Source organism: Homo sapiens, chromosome 13 (assembly GCF_000001405.40).
Source record: "Homo sapiens chromosome 13, GRCh38.p14 Primary Assembly".
Classification (NCBI taxonomy): Eukaryota; Metazoa; Chordata; class Mammalia; order Primates; family Hominidae; genus Homo; species Homo sapiens.
Window position 1 is genome coordinate 25,649,822 of NC_000013.11, and position 26,922 is coordinate 25,676,743.

At 40.0% G+C, this 26,922-nt stretch overlaps 1 protein-coding gene across 12 annotated transcripts in view; it reads left to right on the top strand.

Annotated features, from left to right (window-relative positions):
- ATP8A2 (ATPase phospholipid transporting 8A2) overlaps positions 1 to 26,922 on the top strand; it is a 653,878-nt gene that overhangs the window by 277,848 nt on the left and 349,108 nt on the right. The window contains exon 25 of one of the 12 annotated variants that reach the window (XM_017020626.2): positions 11,322 to 11,500. The exons of the other annotated variants lie outside the window; for them this stretch is intronic. Coding sequence (XP_016876115.1) covers positions 11,322 to 11,330 — 9 coding nt within the window. The 3' untranslated portion in view covers positions 11,331 to 11,500. Of the gene's footprint in view, positions 1 to 11,321; positions 11,501 to 26,922 lie in introns of those variants that run through there. 12 annotated transcript variants of the gene reach the window in all.

Consider the following 26,922-nt stretch of genomic DNA (forward strand, 5'->3'; position numbering starts at 1 on the left):
CCAGGAGTGATCAGCTCAGCTTTGCCTGTGAGCTACACTGTTAGCTGGTACCTCTAATCAGGTACCTTTGCTGCCAGGTACACAAAGCTACCACCAAGATCTGTACACTCATTGCTTTGTTTCCACCTGACCCCAGGTGGTCTAGTTGTGCTGTATTCCGCTGTGTTCCCTTTGAGGTGAGACCAGAGTGGACTTCCTAAGAAGCATCTTGGAATGCTAGGGAAGCTGGATATTTGCTTTCGGGTTCTCTTTTCCCTCTGTAGAAACCATGGTTTTTGGGAAATCCCGTCTGTGAGGCCCTGGGCCAACTTGAGGGATGGGGTGGGGCAATGTTGTCAAAGTGAGATAGTTTCTCTCACCCTTTCCATGCGGCTTTTATTCCATGCTGTGGACCACACAAGTGACTCTGACTTATTCCTAACTTGGGGAGTTTTCACCAAGGCGTTCTTGTCTGTGGATAGTTGCTAGTTGAACTTTTTGTGGGGTAGGGGGGTAGTGAAACCTGTGACCTCCTATCCCACCATCTTGCTGATGTCGTCTGAATTCTCTTTGTACATTAGTTTTGTGATCTAGGAACTCTGAACTCTCTTATTAATTCTAATATGTAGATTATTCTGGATTTTTAAATGTAAACAAAAATACCACTTCTGAATAACAGTTTGGATATACCCTTCCAGTTTTTATGGTCTATTTCTTTTTCTCGACCTATCTAGCTTACTAGAACCTCCACTGCAAAATAGAAGTAGTGTTGGGGCCAAACAGAAGTAGCGTTAAGGGTACTTCAGCTTTTTTTCCAATTTGAATTCTACTAATGTTTTACATTTAAGGATGATGCTTATTGTAGATTTTCTGTAAGTACTGTTTATCAGGTTATTATGAACATTGTTTCGAGTGTATCAACTAATTTTCCTGTATTTATTGACATGATCTTATGGTTTTTCTTTTTTAATCTTTTGATTTGTGAACTACATTCAATAATTTCCCAATGTTAAACCAATCTAGCTTTCCTAGAAATAGCCAACTTGGTCATGATGTGTTACTTTTTAAAATACATTATTTGATTTTGTTTTAGGTATTTGTTTAAAATTTTATATCCATATTTGAATGTAATTTGCCTATAGTGTTCATTTTTCTGCATTGTCCTTATTGGATTATGGTACCACAGTTACATTATCCATAATAATGAGTTAGGGAAGCTTTCCCTCTTTATCTCCTTTGACTTAGTTTATGTAAAGCTGAAATTATTTCTTCCTTGAATGCTTGATAGAACTCACTTGAAATTTTCTTTGTGAGAAAATTTAAACTACTAAGTCAACTTCTTTAATTATTATAAGATTATTCGGCCAGGCGTGGTTGCTCAAACCTGTAATCCCAGCATTTTGGGAGGCCAAGATGGGTGGATCATGAGGTCAAGAGATCGAGACCATCCTGGCCAACATGGTGAAAACCCATCTCTACTAAAAATACAAAAATTAGCTGGTCGTGGTGGCGTATGCTTGTAGTCCCAGCTACTCGGGAGGCTGAGGCAGGAGAATCACTTGAACTCGGGAGGCAGAGATTGCAGTGAATCAAGATCACGCCACTGCACTCCAGCCTGGCGGCAGAGTGAGACTGTTTCAAAAAAAAAAAAATTATTCATACATTCTCATTTCTTAGAAGTCAGGCTGTTATAGTAAGCTTTTTTTTCTGCAGATTTATTTTATTAAATTTTCAAATTTATTGGCCTAAAGTTGTTCACACCTATCATCTTTTTTATTTATGACTATAGCATCTCTCAGTTTTATTCAAGTTATATATTTCAGATTTTATTTATTAGAGAATTGTGATCAGGGGAGTTTATTAGATTTTTCAAAGGACAACCTTTTGGCTTTGTCCAACAGACATTTTAGGTATGTGAATTATACCTGTTAATTTTGCTCTTATCTATTGTGGTATTAGTATTTTTCTTGTCAGTGTCTTCTAAAGTATGTCTTTATATATTTAAGGTATTCATTATTTAACTGATATCTTGGTTATAAATAATTATCTCTGTTTTTCTTTAATTTTGATTTTAGTCAATTTTTTGTTTATAATTTTGTTTATTACTTTTGTACTTAGAATCATCCTTTATTTAGAAATGAAAGATTAAAAAAATTTTTTTAACATTAGTTTTATTTGTATCTCTAACTGTAATCAAACTATGTCTCTGATCTGGAATTTTATTCCGACCTATGATGTTAAGACTTCAAATCTATGGTTGAAAATTCCAGCTTTATGATAGAATCACCTGAAGTGCTTTTTAGAGACATTTGCCCAGTTCCCTTCAGTTCCCTTCCGCACTCACTAAATGTAGGGGTGGGATGGGGTGGTAAAATCTCAGAATATTTAAAAAATATATATCATAGACAGTTCTTGATGCACAATCAGGTTTGGAAACCACTGATTTAAATATATTTATTTTCCAAATAGCTACCTGATTGTTCCAGCGCCATTCATTGAGCAAGCTTTTTCCTTATTACTGGTTTGGGATTCCTCCTTTACCATGTGTGTTAAACTCCAGAGTATGCTGGGGGTTGTTCTGTGGCTCATTGGTTCTATTAGCAGTCTTGTGCCAGCGTCACAGACTTAGTGATTCAAACTTTATGACATATTTTAATGTTTATTAATGCTAGACCTCCCTCTTCCTTATTCTTATTTTTTAAAACGTATCTCATCTTTCTCCTCAAAAAATTTAGGATATTTTTCATTTAAACATGTTATTCAGAACAAGGTTGGTTGTATGTGATCATCTTTTCCATGTCATTTCCACTGCTTTGTTGTTAAGATAATTTCTTCTGTGTGTAAACTTGTGTTGTTACATAATTATTTTCTTTGAGTTTGTGAGAAATACGTAATTTCCTTGATTTTCTAACTGGCTCTTATTGGTGCATAGGAAAGTTCCTGATTTTCTTTCAGTAGAGTTTTTAAAGCGCACTCTGCCTTTTGGCTCTGCTGAGATTCTTTCAGTTCCTGGATTGTGTCTCTTGTCCTTGCACTGACTGTGCCATTCTTCCTTTTATTTGGAATGTTCTTCATCACTGCCCACACTCCCACCTGTACCTAATGATTTCTTAAGCTTTAGATTTCTGCTGAATCATCCCTTCCCCAGGATGTTCCTTCAGACTTTTCACTAGGTCATGACCTCCTGCTGTGTACTTCATCACAATCTACATCTTCTGTTACAGTGCTCTGTTTCAGTGCAATCACTCTTCCCTGCTGGATTGTAAACGTCTTCAGGTCCAGGAAGGTTTTTTGTTTTGTTTAAGTCTTTAAACCATCTGAGTTAATTTTTGTCTATGGTGTAAGGAAGGGATCCAGTTTCAATCTTTTGCATATGGCTAGCCAGTTATCCCAGCACCGTTTATTGAATAGGGAGTCCTTTCCAGACTGGATAAAGGTGGTACATATACACCATGGGATACTATGCAGTCATAAAAAAGAATGAGACCATGACCTTCGCAGGAACATGGGTGGAGCTGGAGTTATTAGCCTTAGCAAACTAATGTAGGAACAGAAAACCAAATACCACATGTTCTCATTTATAAGGAGGAGCTAAAGGATGAGAACACATGGACACATAGAGGGGAACAACAGACACTGGGGCTTACTGGAGGGTGGAGAGTGAGAGGAAGGACAGGATCAGAAAATACAACTAATGGGTACTAGGCTTAACACCTAGGTGATTAAATAATATGTATAAGAAACCCCCATGACTCAAGTTTACCTATATATCAAACCTGCCCATGTAATCCTGAACTTTAAAATAAAAGTTAAATTAAAAACAAGATTTTTGTTTTTGTTTTTGCTGTTGTCTCCTTAATCAGGAGAGCAGACCGCACACAATGGGTATTTAATAAATTGCTTAAATGAATGCATGAATGCTTGCTTCAGCAACATAACTTTGGCAATGTGGAGATTGTGGTGGAATAGGAGAGAAGATGTAGAGAAGCCAAATGAAATCTGTTCCAACTTTTCAGGCAGAGGAGGATAAGCATATGAGCTAAGGTAGACTTACTCAGGATAGAGGGTAAGGGTTAGCTTTCAGAGTGAAGAGGTGTGATTGGCATCAATTAGGTGCTGACTGGATGCTGGCGAGAGAGAGAGAACCAGGTGAATGGGATACCTCTGGAGGAGCTGGCCTTGGGAAGAAAGGTGAGGGAAAGGTGGGGACATTTGCTTTCCTCCCTGTACACTGTGAAGGTAAGGCATGAGGGAGAATGCCCCTCAGAAACTGTTGTTTGCCTCAAAATCCAACAAAGCTCTTTTTAGGTTTGAAAAGAAAGCAGTTCTTTTTTGCTCATTCATAGAATACCTTTCAGTGAGTTGCTTCTAAGGACGGTAGCAGAGTTTTTGCTGTCATTGTTTTGTTTTATTTTTTGGTTTTTAGACAGGGTCTCACTCTATTACCCAGGCTGGAGTGCAGTGGCACGATAAGGGCTCAGTGCAGCCTAGACTTCCTGGGCTCAGGTGATCCTTCCACCTCAGCCTCCCGAGTGGCTGGGACCACAGATGTGTGCCATATGCCTGACTAATATTTGTAATTTTTATGGAGATGGGATTTCATCATGTTGCCCAGATAGTTTTAAACTCCTGGGCTCAAATGATCTGCCCGCCTTGGCCTCCTCCCAAAGTGCTAGGATTACAGGCGTGAGCCACTGTGCCCTGCCCTTGGTAGAGTTTTGAAGACAGTTGTTATGATGTTAAGTCATTGCACTGAGTCACTAGGCCATCCTTTGGCTTTACAGGACATAAAATATGGGAGTTTCATCACCAGACAGTGGGCGGTACTGGGTTTCCTACTGGGTGGACAGTCCTGCTAGTGGGAGAGTTCTGTCCTTAGTCTGTGCCCTTGGACTGTAGATATAGACATAGAAGGTCATCTCCCTTTATTTCGCCTTTCTGCCTTCATTGTCACTGGGGAGACAGTCCCCCCAAGTCTTCCTGTGTGTGACGCTGTGCAGGTGGTACATAGAAATGCCCATCAGTGATACTTATTTTGATGCTGCTGTGATCCTGAGAATTTTCCCACTTATAGGTGCTCTCTTTGGGATATCTGTTGGCATTCAACTGTTTTCAACAGAAGTCTCCAAAATTGGTACTCATCCAGGGTTATGTTAACTGCCCAGTGTACCGAAGGGTGATGTGGACAGGTGGAAAAAGACTGGGTTAATCTCTTAGTGAGACTAAGTGTTTTTTTACAAGTGGTTGGTTGTCTGAGGGTTAGAAGACTTAGAAGAGTTTTACATTCTACATTGAGGAAGTAGGCACTCACCCATGGTGGGTGGTCTGATGTCCTTGTTTCTTCAGTGGAGTTCTTTTTTCTTTTTTTCTTTTCTTTCAAGACAGAGTCTCACTCTGTCACCCAGGCTGAGTGCAGTGGCACAATGTCAGCTCACTGCAACCTCCGCCTCCTGGGTTCAAGCAATCCTCCTGCCTTAGCTTCCCAAGTAGCTGGGATTACAGGCATCTGCCACCACGCCTGGCTAATTTTTGTATTTTTAGTAGAGACAGGGTTTTGCCATGTTGGCCAGGCTGGTCTCGAACTCCGACCTCAGGTGATCCACCCACCTCGGCCTCCCAAAGTTTTGGGATTACAGGCGTGAGCCACCACACCCAGCCATCAGTGGAGCTCTTAATGTCATTTAGAACATTATTATTGTTGCAGTTGAACTGGAGATGGTAGGAAATAGTGAAGTTCTGCAGTTGTTGAAACAAGATGCTCCCTCAACTGTGCTGTTCCCCACAGTAGAGAGGTAAGACACTCCAGAGGAGTTGATGGTCGAGCAGCTATCTGATGCCTCTAACTGGGAATGGTCTCACAGATTCCTTACTGACCTTAAGCATCAGTAGTTTGCTTCCCAAGCTTGTGGCCCCAAACTAAATCTCTTTAAAAAAAAAAAAAAGCAAAAAACCCGAAAGTACATGATTAGATCTTGCAATACAATTATTGACAATGTATTTTCTGTAGTTTAAATGAATCACTTATAAAACTTTAGTGAATGGGATACGTACCTTATGTGGTTTTAGAAATATTCGTGTGCAAATGGGCAGAATGAATTGGAGTTCAGGTCACTTTGCCAACTTGTGAGATGTCACTAGATTTCAATGTATGTAAATAAACAAGCTCGTCTTTCCAAATACAACTGCACTTGTTATTTCCAAGAGTCTTTCAACAAATGGGATAGGAATTCACAGGCAGGGTCCCAGTGCCTGGTTGAATCTGACTCCCCCTGTGTAACCTTGGACCCATCGCTGAAACCCTATGCCTTCGTGTCCTTTTTGTAAAATATGGACACCATCAGTACTCAGGAACACCATGAGGACCAAATAGGTTTACACACGTAAATGCATGGAGAACAGTAGCTGACAGTGCTCAAGTGCTCACATTAGCAAAATGAAGTGATTCCCTAGTGAATCACACTATTACTTAAAGTTGGATTTTTTTTTGTTTTTTGAAATGGAGTCTTACTCTGTCGCCCAGGCTGGAGTGCAGTGGCATGATCTCAGCTCACTGCAACCTCCGCCTCCTGGGTTCAAGTGATTCTTCTGCCTCAGTCTCCCAAGTAGCTGGGATTACAGGTGTGTGCCATGATGCCCGGCTAATTTTTGTATTTTTAATAGAGACAAAGTTTGACCATGTTGGCCAGGCTGGTCTTGAACTCCTGACCTCAGATCTGCCCACCTCGGCCTCCGAAAGTGCTGGGATTACAGGCGTGAGCCACCACACCCAGCCAAAGTTTGATTTTTTTAAAACTTAAAAGTCCCAATGGATTCAGATCATTGAGATTTGTAACCTATTATTAACATACATTTTCTGGCTGGGCATGGGAGGCAGAGGTTGCAGTGAGCTGAGATCGTGCCACTGCACTCCAGCCTGAGCAACAGAGTGAGACTCTGTCTCAAAAAAAAAAAAAAAAGATATATTTTCTTCAGCTGGGTGTGGTGGCTCACACCTGTAATTCCAGCATTTTGGGAGTCCGAGGTGGGTGGATCACTTGAGGCCAGGAGTTCAAAACTAGCCTGGGTAACATGGTGAAACCCTGTCTCTACTAAAATTACAAAAATTAGCTGGGCATGGTGGTGCATGCCTGTAATCCTAGCTACTCCAGAGGCTGAGGAAGGACAATCGCTTGAACCCAGGAGATGAAGGTTGCTGTGAGCCAAGATTGCACCACTGCACTCTAGCCTGGGTGACAGATCGAGACTCTGTCTCAAAAAAAAAAAAAAAAAAAAAAAAAAAAAGACAGATAGTTTTCTTCATTAATTCGGGATATATATTGTCCAGGGGAGTTGGGGAAAAGCCTAGACTTAAGACCTAACACACTGACTTTATAACTCCAGAAAGCCACATGAAATGAGTTTGGTGTTCAGGTCAGGAAACCAAAGTGCAAAATAAGAGGAGGAGCTGTCTGTATCCTCTTTTGCCTTGTCTGGAGGTGTGTAGGAGGCTGAGAATGGTTTAGTGAGCACATTGCTATACATCAGTGATCTCTTCCCTCCTGTCTCAGATACTGACTCTGTGCCCCGGGGTCCCTCTCCGTGAAGCAGGAGTTACACGCTCAGATGCCTGGGGGGGTGAGACAGCAACATAAATGTCTTTCATGGGCCAGATGGGGACTGTCACCAGCAGCAGAGCATGTTCAGCCACTACTCATTGCCAAGCAGTTGTTTCCTGTAGGAATTCAGGCCCAGTGTTCCAGAACTCCTGATTTTTCAAGAAGAGACAGAAATCTGTACTGCATAGCCCAAATAAATCTTGGATTAGATGCTGGCTGCAACCACACTAGTTTGCAATTTTTGTAATGGGAAGAAAATATTTATGATCTATGTAACACACAAATGTTGGTGTTAAACAGATACTTTTACTCTAGAATCTTTGGGTAAAATGAAGTCTGATGACCTTGTTAAAACATATTATGTAATGCTTGACTTTGGTCATTCAGGAAATACCTACTGTGTGCGTTAACACGTAATTTAGTACATATTTTCTCTTTAAAATGAGCAGTTGCTACAAATGAAACCTGGCCCAGAAGTAGCAGATTGTCATTCTGCAAAATATTTGGGAGACCTGTCTTTTGCCTTTTAGGTTTTGTTAGTTTGATGGAGGTAACGTTACTTTTGGTTCTTCCATTGTATTTAATTGACAGTATCATCTTCTAAAGAATTTCAGTTTTACAGATTGGAGTAGTGAACTCAGGGAAGCATTAAAAACTAGTAGAAAGATTTGAGTAGATTGGGCAACTTGGCACCAAGGCCACTGGTAGGGACGTGCACACTCTTTTCTTAATAACTTAGAGGTGATGAACTCCTGATTGATTGCCTCAGCTAACAGATATTTGGCTGTCACTAAAAATTATCTAAGTTGTATTACTTGAAAACTTAGAATTTAAAAGTGTTACCATAGAGGCAGATGTGCCTCTAGAATTACCTGTGTCCAGACCACCAAAAATGACCAGACATTCCCCTTGCTTCATATGAGTGACTGCTACTTCTTGACTTTTTAAAGAGTTAGCTTTGGCCAGGCACGGTGGCTCACACCGGTAATCCCAGCACTTTGGGAGGCCGAGGCAGGCAGATCACCTGAGATCAGGAGTTCGAGACCAGCCTGGCCAATATGGTGAAACCCCCGTCTCTACTAAAAATATAAAAATTAGCCGGGGGTGGTGGTGCGCACCTGTAATCCCAGCTACTTGGGAGGCTGAGGCAGGAGAATCACTTGAACCTGAGAGGCAGAGGTTGCAGTGAGCAGAGATCGCACCATTGCACTCCAGCCTGGATGACAAGAGTGAAACTCCGTCTCAAAAAATAATAAAAGAGTTAGCTTCACTTTGTTTGCTTTTCCTATCTTCCAGATAAAATTATCAAGAGATTCAGTCACAGATTTGCCTCTGCTTTCAGACACTGCCAAATCCAGAGCAAAACCATACTTCTCTGAACTTTCCCCAAAATCATCTAACAAGAGCCCAAATTCCCTCCTACAGCTCTTTTGCTCAGAGCCACCCCATAGTTTCCCACCTGCTGGCTCCCTGATTACAAAGAGTCAATAAACTCAACCTGGTACTACTGTAGTCTGCTCCTGGTGAGCTGTGGATGAAGGGTATTGCTACCTAGGTAAGATTTGATGATATTATTACACCATTATTTACTTGTTGGCATTTGTGAAATATTAAAGGTAGCAGGGCCTATCATAGGAGGAAAGGAAGGTTGATGGTAAAAATGGAATGATCTATTTCAGCAAAAGCTGCCTAAGAAATCGTCTCCCTCAGAAGGTTATGTATGTGCAAGCTCTTCACTCCCTGGAAGAGCCAGTGAGTCACTCCAGGCAGTCTTGCAAACGGTCGTTTGATTCGAGTTACAGATAGTAGGAGGTGACCCTTTGAAATCTATTTAGAAAAAGTTCTTTCTAAAAGCTATCGATTGTGCTGATTATGATCATAGCAGGTTTCAACCTGCTGTCCAAGTCTGGAACTTTAGGCAAGTTAAGATCAACAAGCACTCTGCGATCGAGTTTCATTTAATTAGAGTTTGCTGCCAAGTCAGGTTTTGAGGCCAACTGCATGCCAGGCGCCTTTCAATGGTTGTCTGTCTGAGCTGGGGGAACGTTGGAGGATGCTCTGCCCTTTCTCCAGTATTAACCTTAGACCAAATCCCAGGGGCTTGCCCTGAGATAAGCTATCTCTACACCACTGGAAAGAGAATGCTTTGCTGCAAATGCATGAAGGCAGAGCAAAGATGTAAGGCAAATAAGTGGGAAATCCAGTTCGGTAGGCTTTTCCCAAAAGCGAGAGAAAAGCGTTCGTAGTCCTTTATCAGGATGGTGGGGGAAAAAGAAAAAGTAAGCTGACTTTTATTTTTTCAAGTCACTTTCCTAAGAAACTTGTAAGGACCTCTCTAAGGCACTGCTATCTGTCTTTGTAGGGCAAGCGTGAAGCTTTCCCTTGCCAGCTTTGTGATGTCATTGAATTAATAATACTGTAAAGGCTAGATCAGAAGTCAATTTGGCAGCTGTGCCTTTAGGGAAATTTTTGGGAGAGTGACCTTCCATTTCTAATAAGCATGTTATTACATTTAGAATTAAATTACTAAGAGCCAAGCTACCCTCTTGAATTTGCTATTAGCCATTTTTTCCCTTTTATTTTTAATGAACTAGAACAAGTTGAAGCCAGTTGTTTCTATTAGTAATAGTACACAGTAAGAAAGGAACAAAAAATCTTTTACTATCAGGCCCTTTATGTTGGACAAGTTTAGCTCTTCTAAATATCAGAATTTGTGAAAGACTTCCACAAAGTCTATTTCTTTTTTCTTAACTTGGGTAGAGTGGGAGAAGCCAGTGGGTTCCTTTCACCAATTTTATATTTGAATGCCTCCTCATGTGTGAGTTTTCTTCCTTAAAGTGAGAAAGATCATCTTCATTTCAACGTTTGTGTGATTCTGAAATTCATGTGGAATATAAATGGGCCCCAAAGTCCAATGGTATATTCTGTAACAATGCACCTACAGAGTATTTAACCCATCAACCACTAGAGCCCAATTTAAAACACCAGTCCTTAAGGCAGGGTGGTACCCGGGCTGATGTAAATGAATAGACACCCAGAGGGCAGTTGAGAAATAGCTAGCAAGCAAGTTGGATCAATTTTAATATCAAATCACACTCTCAAATAAGACAGAAGAACTTTTTACGAATGATGTTGGCAGAGAGAGATGGCAGTTTGGAGCCAAAATTTAAATCCCACACTGTAAACCTAAAACAAACATAAAAGGGTGCTCCAGGTTAACTAAAGATGACAAATTATTGAATTGTGGAAAACATAGAAGGAAAAAAAAAAGAGAGTATGTTCAGATATGAAGCAATAAACCAAGTCACAAAGCTGGAAATATTCCCTCATTAAACAATACCTCTTTAAGAGCAGGGGCTGTCACAACAACTTGGTAATATTCCACACATTTGCTAAGGTAAATTCAACAATACTATACGTGGAAATGCTGCTACTGGGGATCCCGGTTACCCCAAAAGGGACTCTTTCCTGTTTGGCTTCATGAAGACAATACATAAAACCAAAAGTGAGTGCCAAGCAGTGCAGACTTTATTCGATGGTCATGGAATGGAGAAGTGGGAGCGTAGCTTGCATATCAACAACTCAGCTCTTGAGAACTGGGAAGTTACAGATATAGGGGATTCTTCATTTTAATAAGCCTGTAATGATGGCCCATTTGTGTCTGTGTTCACACGTGCGTCTCTGAGAGACAGAGACAGAGTTCACTACATGTGGGTATGGTATTTAGATTCCTCTATTGGAATGCAGGTTCCTTGAAGCTCAAGGATATTGTGATGCACAGGTGCTCTGACCCAGGAACACAGCCTGGCCTGCCTATCAGATACGGACCACAGGAACCATCTGTTCTACTACTCTTCCACACCCAAAAAACCTGCCACTGCCGAGGCTACCCCTACCAAGTCTAGGTGTGTACATTAGCTTAAAATAATTCATGGTATTATTAAAGGTCAAAATTATTTCTCTCTTTGTACCTTTATTGATTCCGCTGATATTCATCCATTTGCTTATTGACTGGTGTTTTCATTGTGGTAGAGCCACACAATTTTTGTTTTTGATTGTCATTACTTATATAGATTTTTGAGAGGAACCTAAGATTGTTTTTTTCTTTCTTGCTCATTAACTTGTAATATCTCAAATATATACTTAATAAAGTAAAAATTGACTTAAGTAAAGGGTGAGAAAAAGATTATGAACTTAAGAAGGATTAAAACCAATTTGCATAGCTCTGGAGAGACGGTCTTTCCTTGTATTACTTGGGGAAAGCAAAAATTAAAAGAGATGAGATCTATTATCTGAATCATGGATAGTGTGACCTACCCAGAGTACCTACTTTTTAACCTTCCAGTGGGTGTTGAAATCTGATTCAGCACATTCTTGGAGAGTGATGAGTAAATTTGTTGTTATATAAAGATTTTTCAAAAATAAGCATCGGATTCAAACATGAGTAGAAAGGATGAGATGTTAATTTAAGTGATTATGGGAAGCTGTGATTTATACACATGAAATCATTCATTTAGAGATGGGTAGTAAGAACAATGAGGATCTTAGGGACTGAGTATCTGTTTCCTAGGACACTAGAGACAGCATTAGGTAGTGATTAACTTAAGAATTCTGAAGTGTGATTGCCTAGATTTGAATCCTGGTTCTAGTCCTTTCTAGCTCTCTGACCAGGAGCAAATTACCTAAGCTGTCTCTGCCTGGACCTTCCCATCTGTAAAATGGTGTTAATAATAACATCTACCTCATAGCATTATTGTGAGGATAAAAGTGAGTTAATATATGCAGATTTCTAGAAGAGTACATAGCATATTGTAAGCGCTGTTATACACATTTACTCTCATTACTTGCCATGATGAGTGTGCAGAGGTTAACCAGGAGACAAAGGAAGCTCACACCCCAGTTGTTTTGTGGGCTACATTCTTGGCGATGTTTTATCGTTGCCCCTGATAATTTCCCCATTTTTAAGAAAAAAGAATTCATAGGCTTAGCATGTGGTTGATTTAAGCCTAACTTTTGACTGATTCTATATGGGATTCTGACTCTCTGATTAACTTTGATGTTCTAACTTTACCTAGCGAATATTTTTTTTCTTTATTTTATCGAACAGGGAAGAGGTCTTTTGATTTTTGGATTATTTGGTATAATATTATATTCTTGAAATCATCCTGTGACTGTCAAAAAGCTGACTGTAAATGAACAGTGAGCCACTGCAGACAGAAACAATTATTCAGGGAAACATAAATTCATAATCACTGGGCCTAAAATGAATTAGTGAGTAATCCAATCTGGGGGTGAGAAATGAGCCCTTGGCAACATTGTTTTTAGGCTACAGATGGTCCTTGAAACACTATTAGCCGGTGGATCTGAGCACCTGAAAGGTTTAAGGAAGCCTGGGTCTGTGCTGAAGGTGTCTTTGGGTAAACTGTCATATTTGCATGCAGCATCCTTTTAGAATATCAATGAGATCTTTATATGCATGTGTTATGTCATTTCCAAGCACCCTGTCAGTAAATGGATGGGTGGCATCAGCCCGAATGCAAAGGAAAGGGGTTCATCTGGAACTGAAATAGCAGAAAGGGAGCAGGAGATGGATATTTGATGGCTGCCCTTCCCTGTGCATTGTGTGAATACCACTAGGTGATCATCTCAGGGCACCTGCACAGGCATCTGAAATGCAGTGTAGAGGCTCTGCTTGGCAGATTTGAGGACATTAAGGCTCAGATAAGATAACTATCTTGGCCCAGATCACATACGTGGGACATGGCAGAGCCAGGATTCAAATTCAATTTTGAATAATTCCAAAGCCAATGCAGCACCTGAATGCGTAGGTTTAATAAAATTCAGCCTAATCCTTCTGAAAGTTAATTCAATGCAGGAGTGACTTTAGCATCAATATTAATTTAATTTTCTTTCTTATAAGTTATTTCAAGTTTGCTGTTTCCCTACAGTTTGAATTGAACTTTTTCTTCGATTGCTGGGCAAATCTCATTTATGAGTTTGCAGATGGGAGAGGTATTCTTTAAGTCAGCTTTGCAATTAAAATGAACTAGAGTACAAATGTCTCAATTTAACCTTGACACCTGATGTAATATTCACACGGCCTCATCATCCATCATCTTTTGTGTGCCACTGAGGTGCATTGGGCCACTGGCTTTTATCCCATGATTGTAGAGTTGCATCCGACATTATCTGTTTCAAGGATCGCAGACCAGCTACTTTTTCTGAACTAGAATTCTCTTTGTTCTAGACCTGTTGTTTGGGTGATATATAGAGATGAAGCAATCTTCGACCTGATTACTGTCTGGCTATAGAACTTTATTGTATCCCATAGTATACAGGACTGCTTTGAGTTTTGCCTCTATTCTAGCCATTTGCTGAGAAGAAAGACATTTGTGGAGGTCTCCTCAATAGGAATTTTTATTAACCATAAGTGATTTAAAACCATTGTCAAACCTGTAACTTTTAAGAGTTACTGTGACAGAATGAGGGGAAAATATTCTGAAGTTTAATTAGAAACTATAGAAATTAGACGGCCAGGCATGGTGGCTCACGCCTGTAATCCCAGCACTTTGGGAGGCCGAGGTGGGTGGATTGCTTGAACTCAGGAGTTTGAGACCAGCCTGGGCAACATGATGGAACCCCGTCTCTACAAAAAATACAAAAATTAGGCTAGTGTGGTGGCAGGCGCCTGTAATCCCAGCTCCTCGGGAGCCTGAGGTGGGAGGATGGCCTGAGTCTGGGAGGGCAACAGAGCCAGACCTTGTCTCACAAAAACAAACAAACAAAAACTGAAGAAATTAGAAGATGAATAATGGCTGTGGTAATTTACTTTCTTGTAAGTAAAGGTCTTTACCTACTTTACAAGAAAGATCTTTACTTACAATAAAATAAGTTACCTGTAAATGGCCTTAAATATTGATTAGGTTGTAAGAGAGAATATGAAATTAGATAAAATGTAGCAATATTTGATGTCATCATTTCCTTCCTCACCCACGCCTCTTCTGGAGTGGGCAGTTGGTCACATGATCTTGCCCCTCTTCAGCGATTGCACTGTGGCTGTTACTGTCAGGAGATGCCCGTTTGTAGGTCTGCTGGTAGAAGTCTGAGATAGACTGGCTCAGAGACAAGCTGTACCAGTAAGAACGCCCTAAGAAACTGTTCAAGCCAGAGAGAGCAGTTGCCAGCGGGCAGTGGTTACTGGAGCTGGAATGCCAGATGAAGTCTGATGGGTTTGGCTCTGATGGGTCTTGTGCATCCAAAACCAGGTAGCCAGAAGGAGCCAGTTGATCAAGCAGATATAGAAAGATCCCCAGAGAGAAGCAGAGGTATCATCCAAGAGATGTGAAAGATTTTTCCACATCCCAATTGCTACCTGGATTCCTGAGACTTGGTTTTCATTTTCTTCTGTGAATCTAGTGACCATATACCTTTTTCCTTGCGGTAACATGGGACATAACTGATTTTCTTGAATGCGAGAGAGCTTTAACTAAAAGAAGATTGACATTTAAGACAAAATGAAATATTGCAAATAGTCAAGAAGATCTACACTTGGGTCCAGAATGTTATAGAATTAAGAAAATAACTTTCTGTGGCATCAGAGATTGAAAAAAAAAAAGCCGTCGAGACCAGGAGCAGTGTGGCTGTGAATCCTTCCAGAGCCCAGATGTACAAGGCAGCAGAAGCAACAAAGGCTGTGGCCAGCAACGAAGGCAGAGTCCCCGGTAGGCGGAGGTCCCCGTGCACAGTGTGGTGCAGCAGTGAACCCAAGATTTTCCTTCACAGGGCAGGGGAACTATTTCCTAATAAGCATTGGCATTCAGGTTAGTAACCAGTTGATAGGATTATATCAACCTGTCTCTAAGTCAAAACAGATTATTCAACTTTTTTGAGTGGTATTTTAGAATACATAGGTCAAAGGTGGGCATGGTGGCACACACCTGTAGTCCCAGCTACTTGGGAGGCTGAGGAGGGAGGCGTGCCTGAGCTCAGGAGTTCAAGTCAGCCTGGGTAACATAGGGAGATCCTGTCTCTAAAAATAAATATTAAAAAAGAACATGTAGATCAGAATTTGGATGACTTTTTTTTCCTCAGGTGCAGAGATGGTAGGGGCATACTTTCAATCCCTGGTACATGACTTTCTTTCTGGTCTGCTTAGCAATATGTGTGAAATGTGGCCAAGGATATGGGACTTGTTGTGCCTGTGCCATGTAAGAGCCTCATCCAAATAAGTCTGTACCTCTGTCTTAAATTCCAGAAACCATGGATGCATGTAACAAGCATATTGAATAGGTTCTGTAACCCAGAGCTTATTTGTTTTTATTATTATTATTATTTTAGAGGTGGGGGTCTTACTATGTTGCTCAGGCTGGACTTGAACTCCTGGGCTCAAGGAATCCTCCCGCCTCAGCCTCCTGGGTAGCTAGCTGGGACTACAGATGCACACCACCACTCCTGTCTCAGAGCTTGATTTTTAAGCCTTATATATACTTATAATAAAATATGTTCATAATATATTTTATAAAATGAATATATAAATATATATTTATAAAATATATATAAGGCTTAAAATTTTAACGTTAAGAATGCTGTTTCTCTTTTTTAGTTTCTACTGGCCAATGGAAAGAACATCAAGGGATTGCAGGCCAAATTTATAAAATGTTTACCCAGGGCAATGCTAGTTTACTTTCATGTATTCAAGTATTGTCATTGTATAATTTAGGTATTTATACTCCCCGGGAAGGTGTTTCTTGGAACATTTTAATTATTGAATCTTAAGAATATTAGTTTTTATTAATTCGTCATTTATTTGTTTATTTTTATTTTTTATTTTTTTGAGACCTAGTCTTGCTCTGTCACCCAGGCTGGATTGCAGTGGCACAATCTTGGCTCACTGCAACCTATACTTCCCAGTTCAAGTGATTCTTCTGCCTCAGCCTCCCAAGTAGCTGGGACTACAGGCACCTGCCACAATGCCCGGCTAATTTTTTGTGTGTGTGTGTGTATGTATGTGTATATATATATATTAGTAGAGATGATGTTTCACCAAGTTGGCCAGGCTGGTCTTAAACTCCTGACCTCAGGTGATCCACCCACCTCAGGCTCCCAAAGTGCTGGGATAACAGGCGTGAGTCACCACGCCCGGCCAGAATATTAGTTTTTAAATGAATGATTCCAAGCTAAGTTTTGCTATTGGAAATATAGGAGTTAATTATGACAATTATCATTTGATGTTGTGGGGGCTAAATGTGGGTATTTTTGGTGTTTTTCCTTTTTTTTGTTACATATGTTAAACTCTGAGTCTTTTGACAACACCAAAAGGCATTATGACAACTGTATATACATTTAACTTTGCTTTCAGGGAGACTAGTTCAAGGTAGTAAAACCTCAAAATGGATTTGCAACTGAATTAAGGTTTTCTGAGTAGAGATAAGGCTGAGGTAGCCAAAACTACTTCTGCTATCTCTTTAGAAAAAGTACTTTTATTCAGTCTGTTCTTAAAAGAAATAAGTGTGGTTGTTTTCTTTTTTACCATAAGCAGAATGAAAACAAAATTAGAAGTCATTACTTTTTTTTGCCCCAGCTTACTTTTTGTTATGGAGGTAAAAATTACATAACATAAAACTAACCATTAAAAGTGAACAATTCAGTATATTTAGTACATTCATGTTTTGCAACCACCACCTCTGTCTAGTTCCAAAACATTTTCATTACCCCCAAATTAAAATCCTGTATCCATTAAACAGTAACTCAACTCTTTCCCCTCAAAATCACCAGTCTGTTTTCTGTCTCTATGGATTTACCCACTCTGATTATTTCATGTAAATGGAATCATACAGTGTGTGCTATGGTTTAGATATGGTTTGTTTGCCTCCACCGACACACACATGTTGAAATTTGAACCCCAGCATGGCAGTATTGGGAAGTGGAGCCTACTGGAAGGTGTTTGGGTTACGGGAGTGGATCCTTCATGAATGTCTTGGTACTGTTCTCCCAGTAGTGAGTGAGTTCTCATTTTTAGGAGAATGGATTAATTTTCATGAGAAAGGATTAGTTCTCACGGGAGTCAGTTGTTAACTCCCTTAAGACATCCTTTGCATTTCCCTCTTTTTGCACATATCTGTTTCCACTTTGACCTTCTTTCCCACTCTCCATCTCATGTTGTGATGCAGCATGAAAGCCCTTGTCAGATGCCAGGGACATGTCCTTGAACTCCTCAGTCTGCGAAACTGTGGCCTAGATAAGCCTCTTTTTTTTTTTATAAATTACCCAGTCTTAGATATTCTTTAATAGCAATACAAAATGGACTAAGACAATATGTGTAACCTTTTATGCCTGGCTGCTTTCACTTAACATCTAATACTGCTTTCTTTTGTGTTTGATTTTTTTTTCTAGTGTACCCTTTTGATTCCCTTTTCACTGCTTTTTCTGTATACTTTTTAGTTATTTTCTTACTGATTTACCATGAGTATTACAATTAATATTGCAAGTTTATAGCATTCTAGTTTGAAATGGTGCCAGTGTAGCTTCAATAGCATATAAGAACCCTGCTGCTGTATAGCTCTGTTCCCCCTTTATGTTATTTTTACTAATTTTATCTTTGTATATTGTATTAATATAGATTTATAGTTATTGTTTTGTGCACGAGTCTTTTAAATCACCTGGGAAAAAGAAGTGGTACAACCCCAAAATACGTAAATAATGAATTTTATGTTTACCTATGGTTACCTTTACCTGTGATTGTTATTTCTTCATATAGCTTTGAGTTCCTATGAAATGTCCTTTCCTCTCAGCCTGAAGTATTTCTCTTTAGCATGTCTTATAGGGCAGGCCTAGCTCCTTTAGCTACTGTATATCTGGGAATGTCTTCATTTCTCCTTTATTTTAGTAATTTTGCCAAGCATAGCATTTTTGGTTAAGTTTTTTTTTCTTTCAGCTTTTTAAATATTTTACCCCATTGTATTCTGGGCTCCATGGTTTCTGATGAGAAATTGGCAGTTGATTTTATTAAGGATTGCTTGTGTATAATAAGTTGCCTCTTTCTTTCTGTTTTCAAGATTCTCTCTTTTGTTATTGGCTTTTGATGGTTTGAATATAGTATGTCTCAACATAGATCTCTTTGAGTTTATCCTACTTGGAGTTTGTTGAGCTTTGTGGATATGTAGATTCATGTCTTTCATCAAATTTGGGAGTTTTCAGTTATAATTTATTCAGATATTCTTTCTGCCTCTTTATCTCTCTGTTTTTCTTTTGGAACTCCCATTTGCATGTGTTGGTATGCTTGATAGTATACCACAGGTCTCTAAGGCTCTGCTTATTTTTCTTCTTTTTTCTTTCTACTTCTCAGTATGATTTAACAGTATATAAAATATGCATAGGAGTATCTTCACATTTGCTGAGTCTTTCTTCTGCCTGCTCACTTCTGCTATTGAACCCCTTTAGTGAATTTTTTACTTCAGTTAAACTTTTCAATTTAAGAATTTCTGTTTGATTCGTTTTTATAATTTCTATCTCTTTACTGATATTAGCTATTTGCTTATACATTGCTTTCTTTATTTCCTCTACTTTTTTTGTCCATGTTTCCATTTCCATTTAAGACAGTTAATTTAAAGTTGTTGTCTAGTAAGCCCAGTGTTTGAGCTTCTTGGGGAATAGTTTCTGTCAATTTATTTTTTTCCTATGAATGGGACATACTTTTTTGTTTTTTGGTATGCCTTGTAATTTTTTTTTTGAAAACTAGTTGTTTTGAATATTGTTATATGGTATCCCTGGAAATCAGATTCTCTCCCCTAACCACGGTCTATTATTGTTGACTCTTGAGGGCTGCCATCTGTTTAGTGATTTTTCCAAAGGTTGCATTCTTTACTGTGTATCATTACTGAAGCCTCTGTTCTGTTGACATATGGTTACTGACATTTCCATTTTGTTATCTCATTGGTCAGCCAGTTATGTGACAGAGGATTTCCTTAAATGTCTGGAACCAAAAAGAAAAGAAAAAAACAAAACACCAAACATTTTTCTAGTCTTTGCAGCTTAGTTCTGACCTAAGTCATTCCCTCAATGCTAAACCAGGTCACCCATGACTCTGCCTTAGCCTTCACCTCCTGCTGTGCAGAACCCACAGATCCACCAGTGGGGCAAACCTATGGTCCTCTCAGGTCTTCTCCAAGCATGTGGCAGTCCTAGGCATGGATTTTTCACCCTAGCTTCCACAGCGTATACATTTTTTATTCCCTCTAGAAACTTCCTTCTTAGCCTCTGCCTTCCCTGCTTTTTGGTCTGTCCCTTACTAGTTTTTATTCCCTCTAGAAACTTCCTTCTTAGCCTCCACCTTCCCTGCTTTTTGGTCTGTCTGTTGCTTCCCCATCCATTGTCCGAGGCATAGGTAGTGTGTGTCTTGAAATCTTTCAACAGATGCCACTGCTGCCTGAAATGCCACTGCAGCCCAAGGGAGCAGGAATGAAACAAGTACCAGCCTCTGTGCAGCCCCTCAGGGAACAGCCAGGCAGGTCAAAATACATACCTGCAGTATTTTAAGAATAAGGTTTACTTTAGCTCCCTGATACCAGCAAGCCACACTAGGAGGGCAGGCCACCATCCCCATGGCTGCCCTATGGTGCTGGGGTTAGAGCATGGTGGGCAAGTGAGAGAAAAGACCCCAGCGCTTTCTTACTCAAATCCAGCTGCCTTTTTCTTCATTCGGCATATTCCTTACTATCATAGGTTTTTAATTAACTCCTAGAGTTCTGAAAAAGCTGGTTGTGTCAGTATTTGTTAGCTTACTTATTATTTTAGTTCAGGGACCACTTGTTTGAGTGCCCTACTCCACCATTTTGTATGATGTGATTTGGTAGTTCCTTCTGAAGGAAGATAGTCCCACTGCATAGAAATCTAAGTATGAATATTTTCAATGAAACATGCTGTTATTCAGGCAGCCTTTTCTGCCTGAGGTTATTGAATCAGACGTTCTGCAGTCTCTTGCCCTGGTGTTGAGCCCTGGGAGCTGGATGGAGTCTGAGGTGGGTTGTTCTCATCCTCTTCCCCCTTGCTGCAGGTTCCCTCTCTGAATTTCCTGGCACAATGCCCTGCTGTCTTAAATGTTTACTAATATTTGCTAAAAAAATGATTATTTCAGTTTAGCTATATAAGGTGAAAATGGTTTCCCATTTTCAGAAGACTGGTTTACCACCTTTTGGCTGGCACACCTGTATAGCTAACATAAATGTGATTTAAAATTTAAATGAATTTGCGGAGCCTGAAAGAGCCTCTTCTTTGACTACCCTGGAGAAAAACAGGTAGCAACACTTTATGTCTTAGATGATGTTCCTCCTGATGCCTTAATTAGAAACTTGTAGATTTACTTGCAGTCCAGCTATGTGCTCATTTGCACAGTTTAGTCTAAAGGCTTTACCTAGAGTCACAACTTGATTGTTGTCCAACTCACACTGGGCCACTAACACTGCAAGCTTGACCTATATGTGAAATCATGGAGCTGGTTCCTCATCAATTTCATGACTGAAAAGTTTGTTTACTTCCTTTCTTCTTGTTGGCAGTTCTGTTAAGTGTCTTGCTTCAGCTGTGTCTGCAGCCTCTGGACAGGTATAGTGGAGCAGTGTTGCGGGAAGTCAGGGACCCCAAACGGAGGGACCGGCTGAAGCCATGGCAGAAGAACGTGGATTGTGAAAATTTCATGGACATTTATTAGTTCCCCAAATTAATACTTTTATAGTTTCTTATGCCTGTCTTTATTGCAATCTCTAAACATAAATTGTTAAGATTTCATGGACACTTATCACTTCCCTAGTCAATACTCTTGTGATTTCCTATGCCTGTCTTTACTTTAGTCTCTCAATCCTGTCAGCTGAGGAGGATGTATATCGCCTCAGGACCCTGTAATAATTGCATTAACTGTACAAATTGTACAGCATGTGTGTTTGAGCAGTATGAAATCTGGGCACCTTGAAAAAAGAACAGGATAACAGCAATTGTTCAGGGAATAAGAGAGATAACCTTAAACTCTGACCGCCGGTGAGCCAGGCGGAACAGAGCCATATTTCTCTTCTTTCAAAAGCAAATGGGAGAAATATCGCTGAATTCTTTTTCTCAGCATGGGATATCCCTGAGAAAGAGAATGTGTACCTGGAGGTAGGTCTCTAAACTGGCCCCCCTGGGTGTGGTCGTCTCTTATGGTCGAGACTGCAGAGGTGAGATAGACTCCAGTCTCCCATAGCGCTCCCAGGCTTATTAGGAAGAGGAAATTCCCACCTAATAAATTTTGGTCAGACCGGTTGATCTCAAAACCCTGTCTCCTGATAAGATGTTATCAATGACAACGGTGGCCAAAACTTCATTAGCAATTTTAATTTTGCCTCGGTCCTGTGGTCCTGTGATCTCGCCCTGCCTCCACTTGCCTTGTGATAGTCTATTACCTTGTAAAGTACTTGATGTCTGTGACCCACACCTATTCACACACTCCCTCCCCTTTTGAAACTCCCTAATAAAAACTTGCCGGTTTTTGCAGCTTGTGGGGTATCACGGGACCTACCGACGTGTGATGTCTCCCCCGGATGCCCGGCTTTAAAGTTTCTCTCTTTTGTACTCTGTCCCTTTATTTCTCAAGCTGGCCAACACTTAAGGAAAATAGAAAAGAACCTACATGAATATCGGGGCAGGTTCCCCAATAGAGCAGCGTACTATTTTGCTCAGTGGGGGACACTGTAGGTCATAGAGTCCATCTTGGATGGGTATCAACTTGAAGTTAGTGTCTGCCTGCCTGCCTGTCTCTCATATGTTTGTTCGGGGGGCCTATCTGTATATATACTTTTGTCTTATTTGAAGATTCCAGTTTTTTTCATAGAGAGGCAGTAAAAGATGCCCAAGGATGTTCTGACTCCCTTTCAACTTATCCTTGTAAGGCACCATAGAGAAAGTATCTTAGGTCTTTTGTTTTTTCAGACTGTGGCATCATCAGCTTTTCTCCAAAGTGCTGGCTGCCTCTCACAACATCACTGCAGTGTGTGTTGTCTTGCTGGCAGAGTCTTTCCATTTCTCTTTGGGGTGGGAATGGAGGCAGGAAGATATTCTTTTCTAGCACGTTTGGCAAGGGGAGTTCAATTCAAAACTCTAAGGAATTGGTTTTTCAAATCTGTGCCACCTTTGTTCTTTTTTTAAAAAAAGGACATTTAATATTTCTCAAGTGCAATCTTCTCATTCTGGCTGCTATTTATTTTCTTCATTCTCTAAATTTATTCTGTCAGCGTTTCTGAAGCTGCCTCTGCTGGTTGCCAGGCAGTGGCTTTACTCCTTTTGGAGTAAAGATGAATCTGACCCCAGGGTAGGATCAAAATCTGTACCAGTAGGTCCCAGTTCTGGCTTTTTGAGCTAATATAGTCAATCTAATTTCCCTTGCATGTGATAGCTATTAAAACATTTTAAGACTGTGAACATGCTTATTTGAGACCGGAAGAGACTGGGTCACAGAGGAAGAAGGAGGCAATTACAGAGTGGGAGTGGGCAGGCTTTGGTGGTTTGGAGACTTTGGGAGACATGAATAATATAAGGGATTGGTGGAAAAGAGGGAGGGAGCAGGGTAGAGACAAGAACCTTTGGTCAGCTTGTATTTTTTAGGGTCAGTATTCTCTGGCAATAATCTCTCCAGCTTCTTTGGAACGAAAACATGAATAGTGTATTAGATTAAAAATCACAGGACTCCCAGGCTAGCATTAATTCTCCATTCAACCCTGCCTCTTTCCTACCATGATGGACAAGGCAAGGAGATGAGGGACAGAATGCTTTCTCCTCCGCCTCTCACTGTTCCTGTGATTTTCAGATTGTACTATTAGCAGAGTTCTGCAGACACTATAACAGCGAATACTGATGATCTTCTATAAATGTATGTGGAATTCTATTTGATGATTCTTGTTTAACGCCACAGAAATTTTGGATAGGATACAAGAAGATTACCCATGATGTGGCAAATGAGACCAGTTGGGATAGCTACAAAGCAGAGACTCTGACTTCTGTATACTGCACAGGAAATGGATTCTCCTAACTGTCCTCCTGTCATGTATGATACCAATGTAATTATAGAAATAGAAGTCAAACATATTTTAACAAATGTGGTACTGGAAAATCATACAGCTCTACTGGCTAATTTTCCTTAATTTCATGATGTTTTACAAATTGGCATTTATTGCTCCCTGTCTACGCTGACTCGTTTCTCTACTAAGCTTGCTTTTTTCCTACCCCAGACACAGATCTGATCATAATCTTCCATATATCCCACCCAAACAGCTATTGGTGCGTAGGAAAAATGGTTTAGGCTGATAAAGAATGATTCACGGCAATGGAAAGAAAGCCAGCCACTGAAGTAACTTATAAAATGAGTCCAGTAATTCAGATGTATTTATAATTTTATTTGCCTGTGTGGTCCTAGTTAGACTTGGCTCTGCACAGGGAAAGGAGGGGAAAAAGAAACAATTTTAGGGGAAAAAGTGAAAGATGGTACAAAAATTTGGTGAAAATTACATAGTCCATATGCCGCTTTGTCATCATTAAGCTAATGTTTTCAACAAGCTGTTTTTTGTGGTTCAGCAGAGGAAACTCGGCAGTGTGATTGCAGTCATGGAATCCTACCTGGCTTTGGTTCCACCATGGCTACATCCTGCCATAAACGGAGACTTCGGGAAGGTCTAGGAAATATTGTGGTGTTAGTGTCTTTAGTTAAAAGCCAACCATTCAAGGTTGTCTGGCCCAAAGTAACGTTTCCACACTTAGAGAAGCCACCCAACCTCTGCCCCTGTTTAGGCTAGTGTGAACAAATTCATCCTGGCCATGTTGTCTTCTCAGAACTCCTATGAGGGTCCAGATGTGTCCCCCCCCGAAAACTAAATCTATAAGGACCTTTGGCTCTTTTAGCTGCTTTATTTTTTGTTTTCAACCATGTATGAAAGTGAGTGTGCAAAATAGGCTTTTCAATAAATTATGCATCCTTCAATAATATATCGTTTCCATTCCAGTTAGCTTTAGGCCCCCAAACCAGATCATTAGGTCTCTGGAATTGGCTGAGGCAAGCTGGCTTTTATGTCTCTGATGCCTCTTGGCCCATCCTTTTCACCAAGAGAGGATTAGAATGGATTCATTGCAAGGGCTGCAGGGAAGTGGTGTATTTAGTGCTTTGCAGTGCCTGCCACAGACTTGAGTGTCAAATTCCTCCTTTCTCTAAAGAGCATAAAATTCCCATCAGACTTGGAGAGCTAAATGCAATTGAAACATTGAGGGGAAGAGTGTTCCTTGGCACATTTTCCCCACCCGGAGATCCTCAACAGTACGTTTCCTCCCGTGTAGTGACTATTAGGAGTGCAAAACCTGAATACTTTTTCAAAATTAGAATGACCACAATAGTAAATAGGACAGAATGGGAGTGGTATTGAAGTAAGAATTTGCTTATAGAATTAAACCAAATCCAAATTATTTCTCACTCGCCTTCAAAAGATAATTTTGAGCTTTTGAACATAGCAGGTTTGCTGGTCGTGCTACTGAGTAGTTTGAAAGCAAATTTCAGTCACCAAAAGGACGTAAGTCTAGAAGGACCCTTTACTTCTTTCTGTTGTCTGTTTTAATGGGTGCATTCTGGAACCAAATGCGAGTCATCCTGTTTTATCTTTTTCCCTTTGCCCCTAAGTTTCAGTTGCTTGTCTGAGTGTACAGCTAGATTGTTTGCCTTTTGTAAAGGTGAGCATATGAAGCAGACATGGTGGAGCCTTGGGGCCCTAGTAGTGCAGAATTTTTGGAATGGCAGCAATGTTACCTCTATAGTGTCAGCTTTGTTCTTTGGATTTGCATTGCATGACCCGTAATACCAGGTGGAGGAAACCATGTTGAATTTCTCTGGGGGCCACTGCTCAGCAGTTGTCAATCTTTAAGTGCTTAAAAATGTCTAGCATTCTTCCTTTCCAGAGGGCATCCTGTGTTTACACATTTACGCCGTCAAAATCAAGCCTAGTGGATAGAGGAGTTGTAGAACAGGGCAGACAGAATCAAATCAGGCCTGGTGTAGAGGTGTACCTTGGGAAATACCTCCAGTTGTTTTCAGACACTTGCAAATATGTGTAAATAATAAGTTTTATCAGATAGCTTTTTATTTTAATATTTTGGGAAATGGGATAACACAACCTTTTCTTGTGAATATCTTTTGTTCTTTTAATAGAATGTGAAATCATTACACTCTAAGTAGCAAGACAAGAATATCATGTAAACATGTTCTGGAAGATCTGGGCTTTAATTTTGTTGTGATTAGTGTATTTCAGAGAGTGAACATGTTTGGAAGAGTATTGAAAATACTCTCCTGGGTTGTGCCGGTGTTCATGGGTTGGACAAGCTCACCTTTGACAGGCAGGCTTGGATGCTGCTGATGGAGTTACAGAGAGGGCTTTGCATGTGAAAAAATGACATTTTAAGTTGAAATGCCATAATTAATCATTTCCCCCTTTGATTCATGTTATAGAAACCAAATTAACATAATTAAATTATTTTTACAATCATATATTAATAGAAATGAAAAATACTCAAGGTATTGGAGACCCCAAATATCCTGACTTGATCCTTATTCTATACATGTCAAAAATACTTACATGTAACCCATAAGCGTGTAAAATATTGTATCTTAATAAAAGAAAAAAAAATGTATATGTATATTTTAAGAATCAGTAGTGCCTTGAAGGATAAATATTCTAATAGGTAGGCAGTGGTTAACTGCAAGTGATCTGATTGGTGGTCTGGATCAGAAAATTGGAATTTCAAATTAGAGAATATGTTTCTGACTTGACATCATAAGCATAGATGTCTTTAAAATGCTTTTAATATTCACAGGCATTTGGGGAAGAATGAGCTAGATTCTTTTTTCCCTCATCTAGCTTAGATATTTCTACATTTGCTATCCTCAGTACATCATATCTCAGTAGCTCTTCCCCCGGCTTGAGTTGTCCTGGAAAGGTGCAGACCTCATGAGAGGTGGAGGATGGCAGGGAAATAACCAGGTCATCTCAGGGGTCTGCAGAAGGGTAACATCTAATTGAGTTCTGAGACCACACGTGAACTCTGCCTCAGGACATTGCAGCCCTTGTCCTGGCCACACACTTTATTGCATGTGAGTGCCCCACACTACCCAACCAGCTCAACCAGCTTCACTCTGCCTCACGAGAAAGCTCTTATTTTACCTGTGCCAAAGTAAAAAAGGTTGAAGTTTGCCAAGTGGAAAGGAAAAGACAGACAACACATTAAGTGATTTTTTAAAAAAAATTTTTATATATTCCTTCTGGAAACTGTTTTTGTGTTTGACTTGATGAAAGTA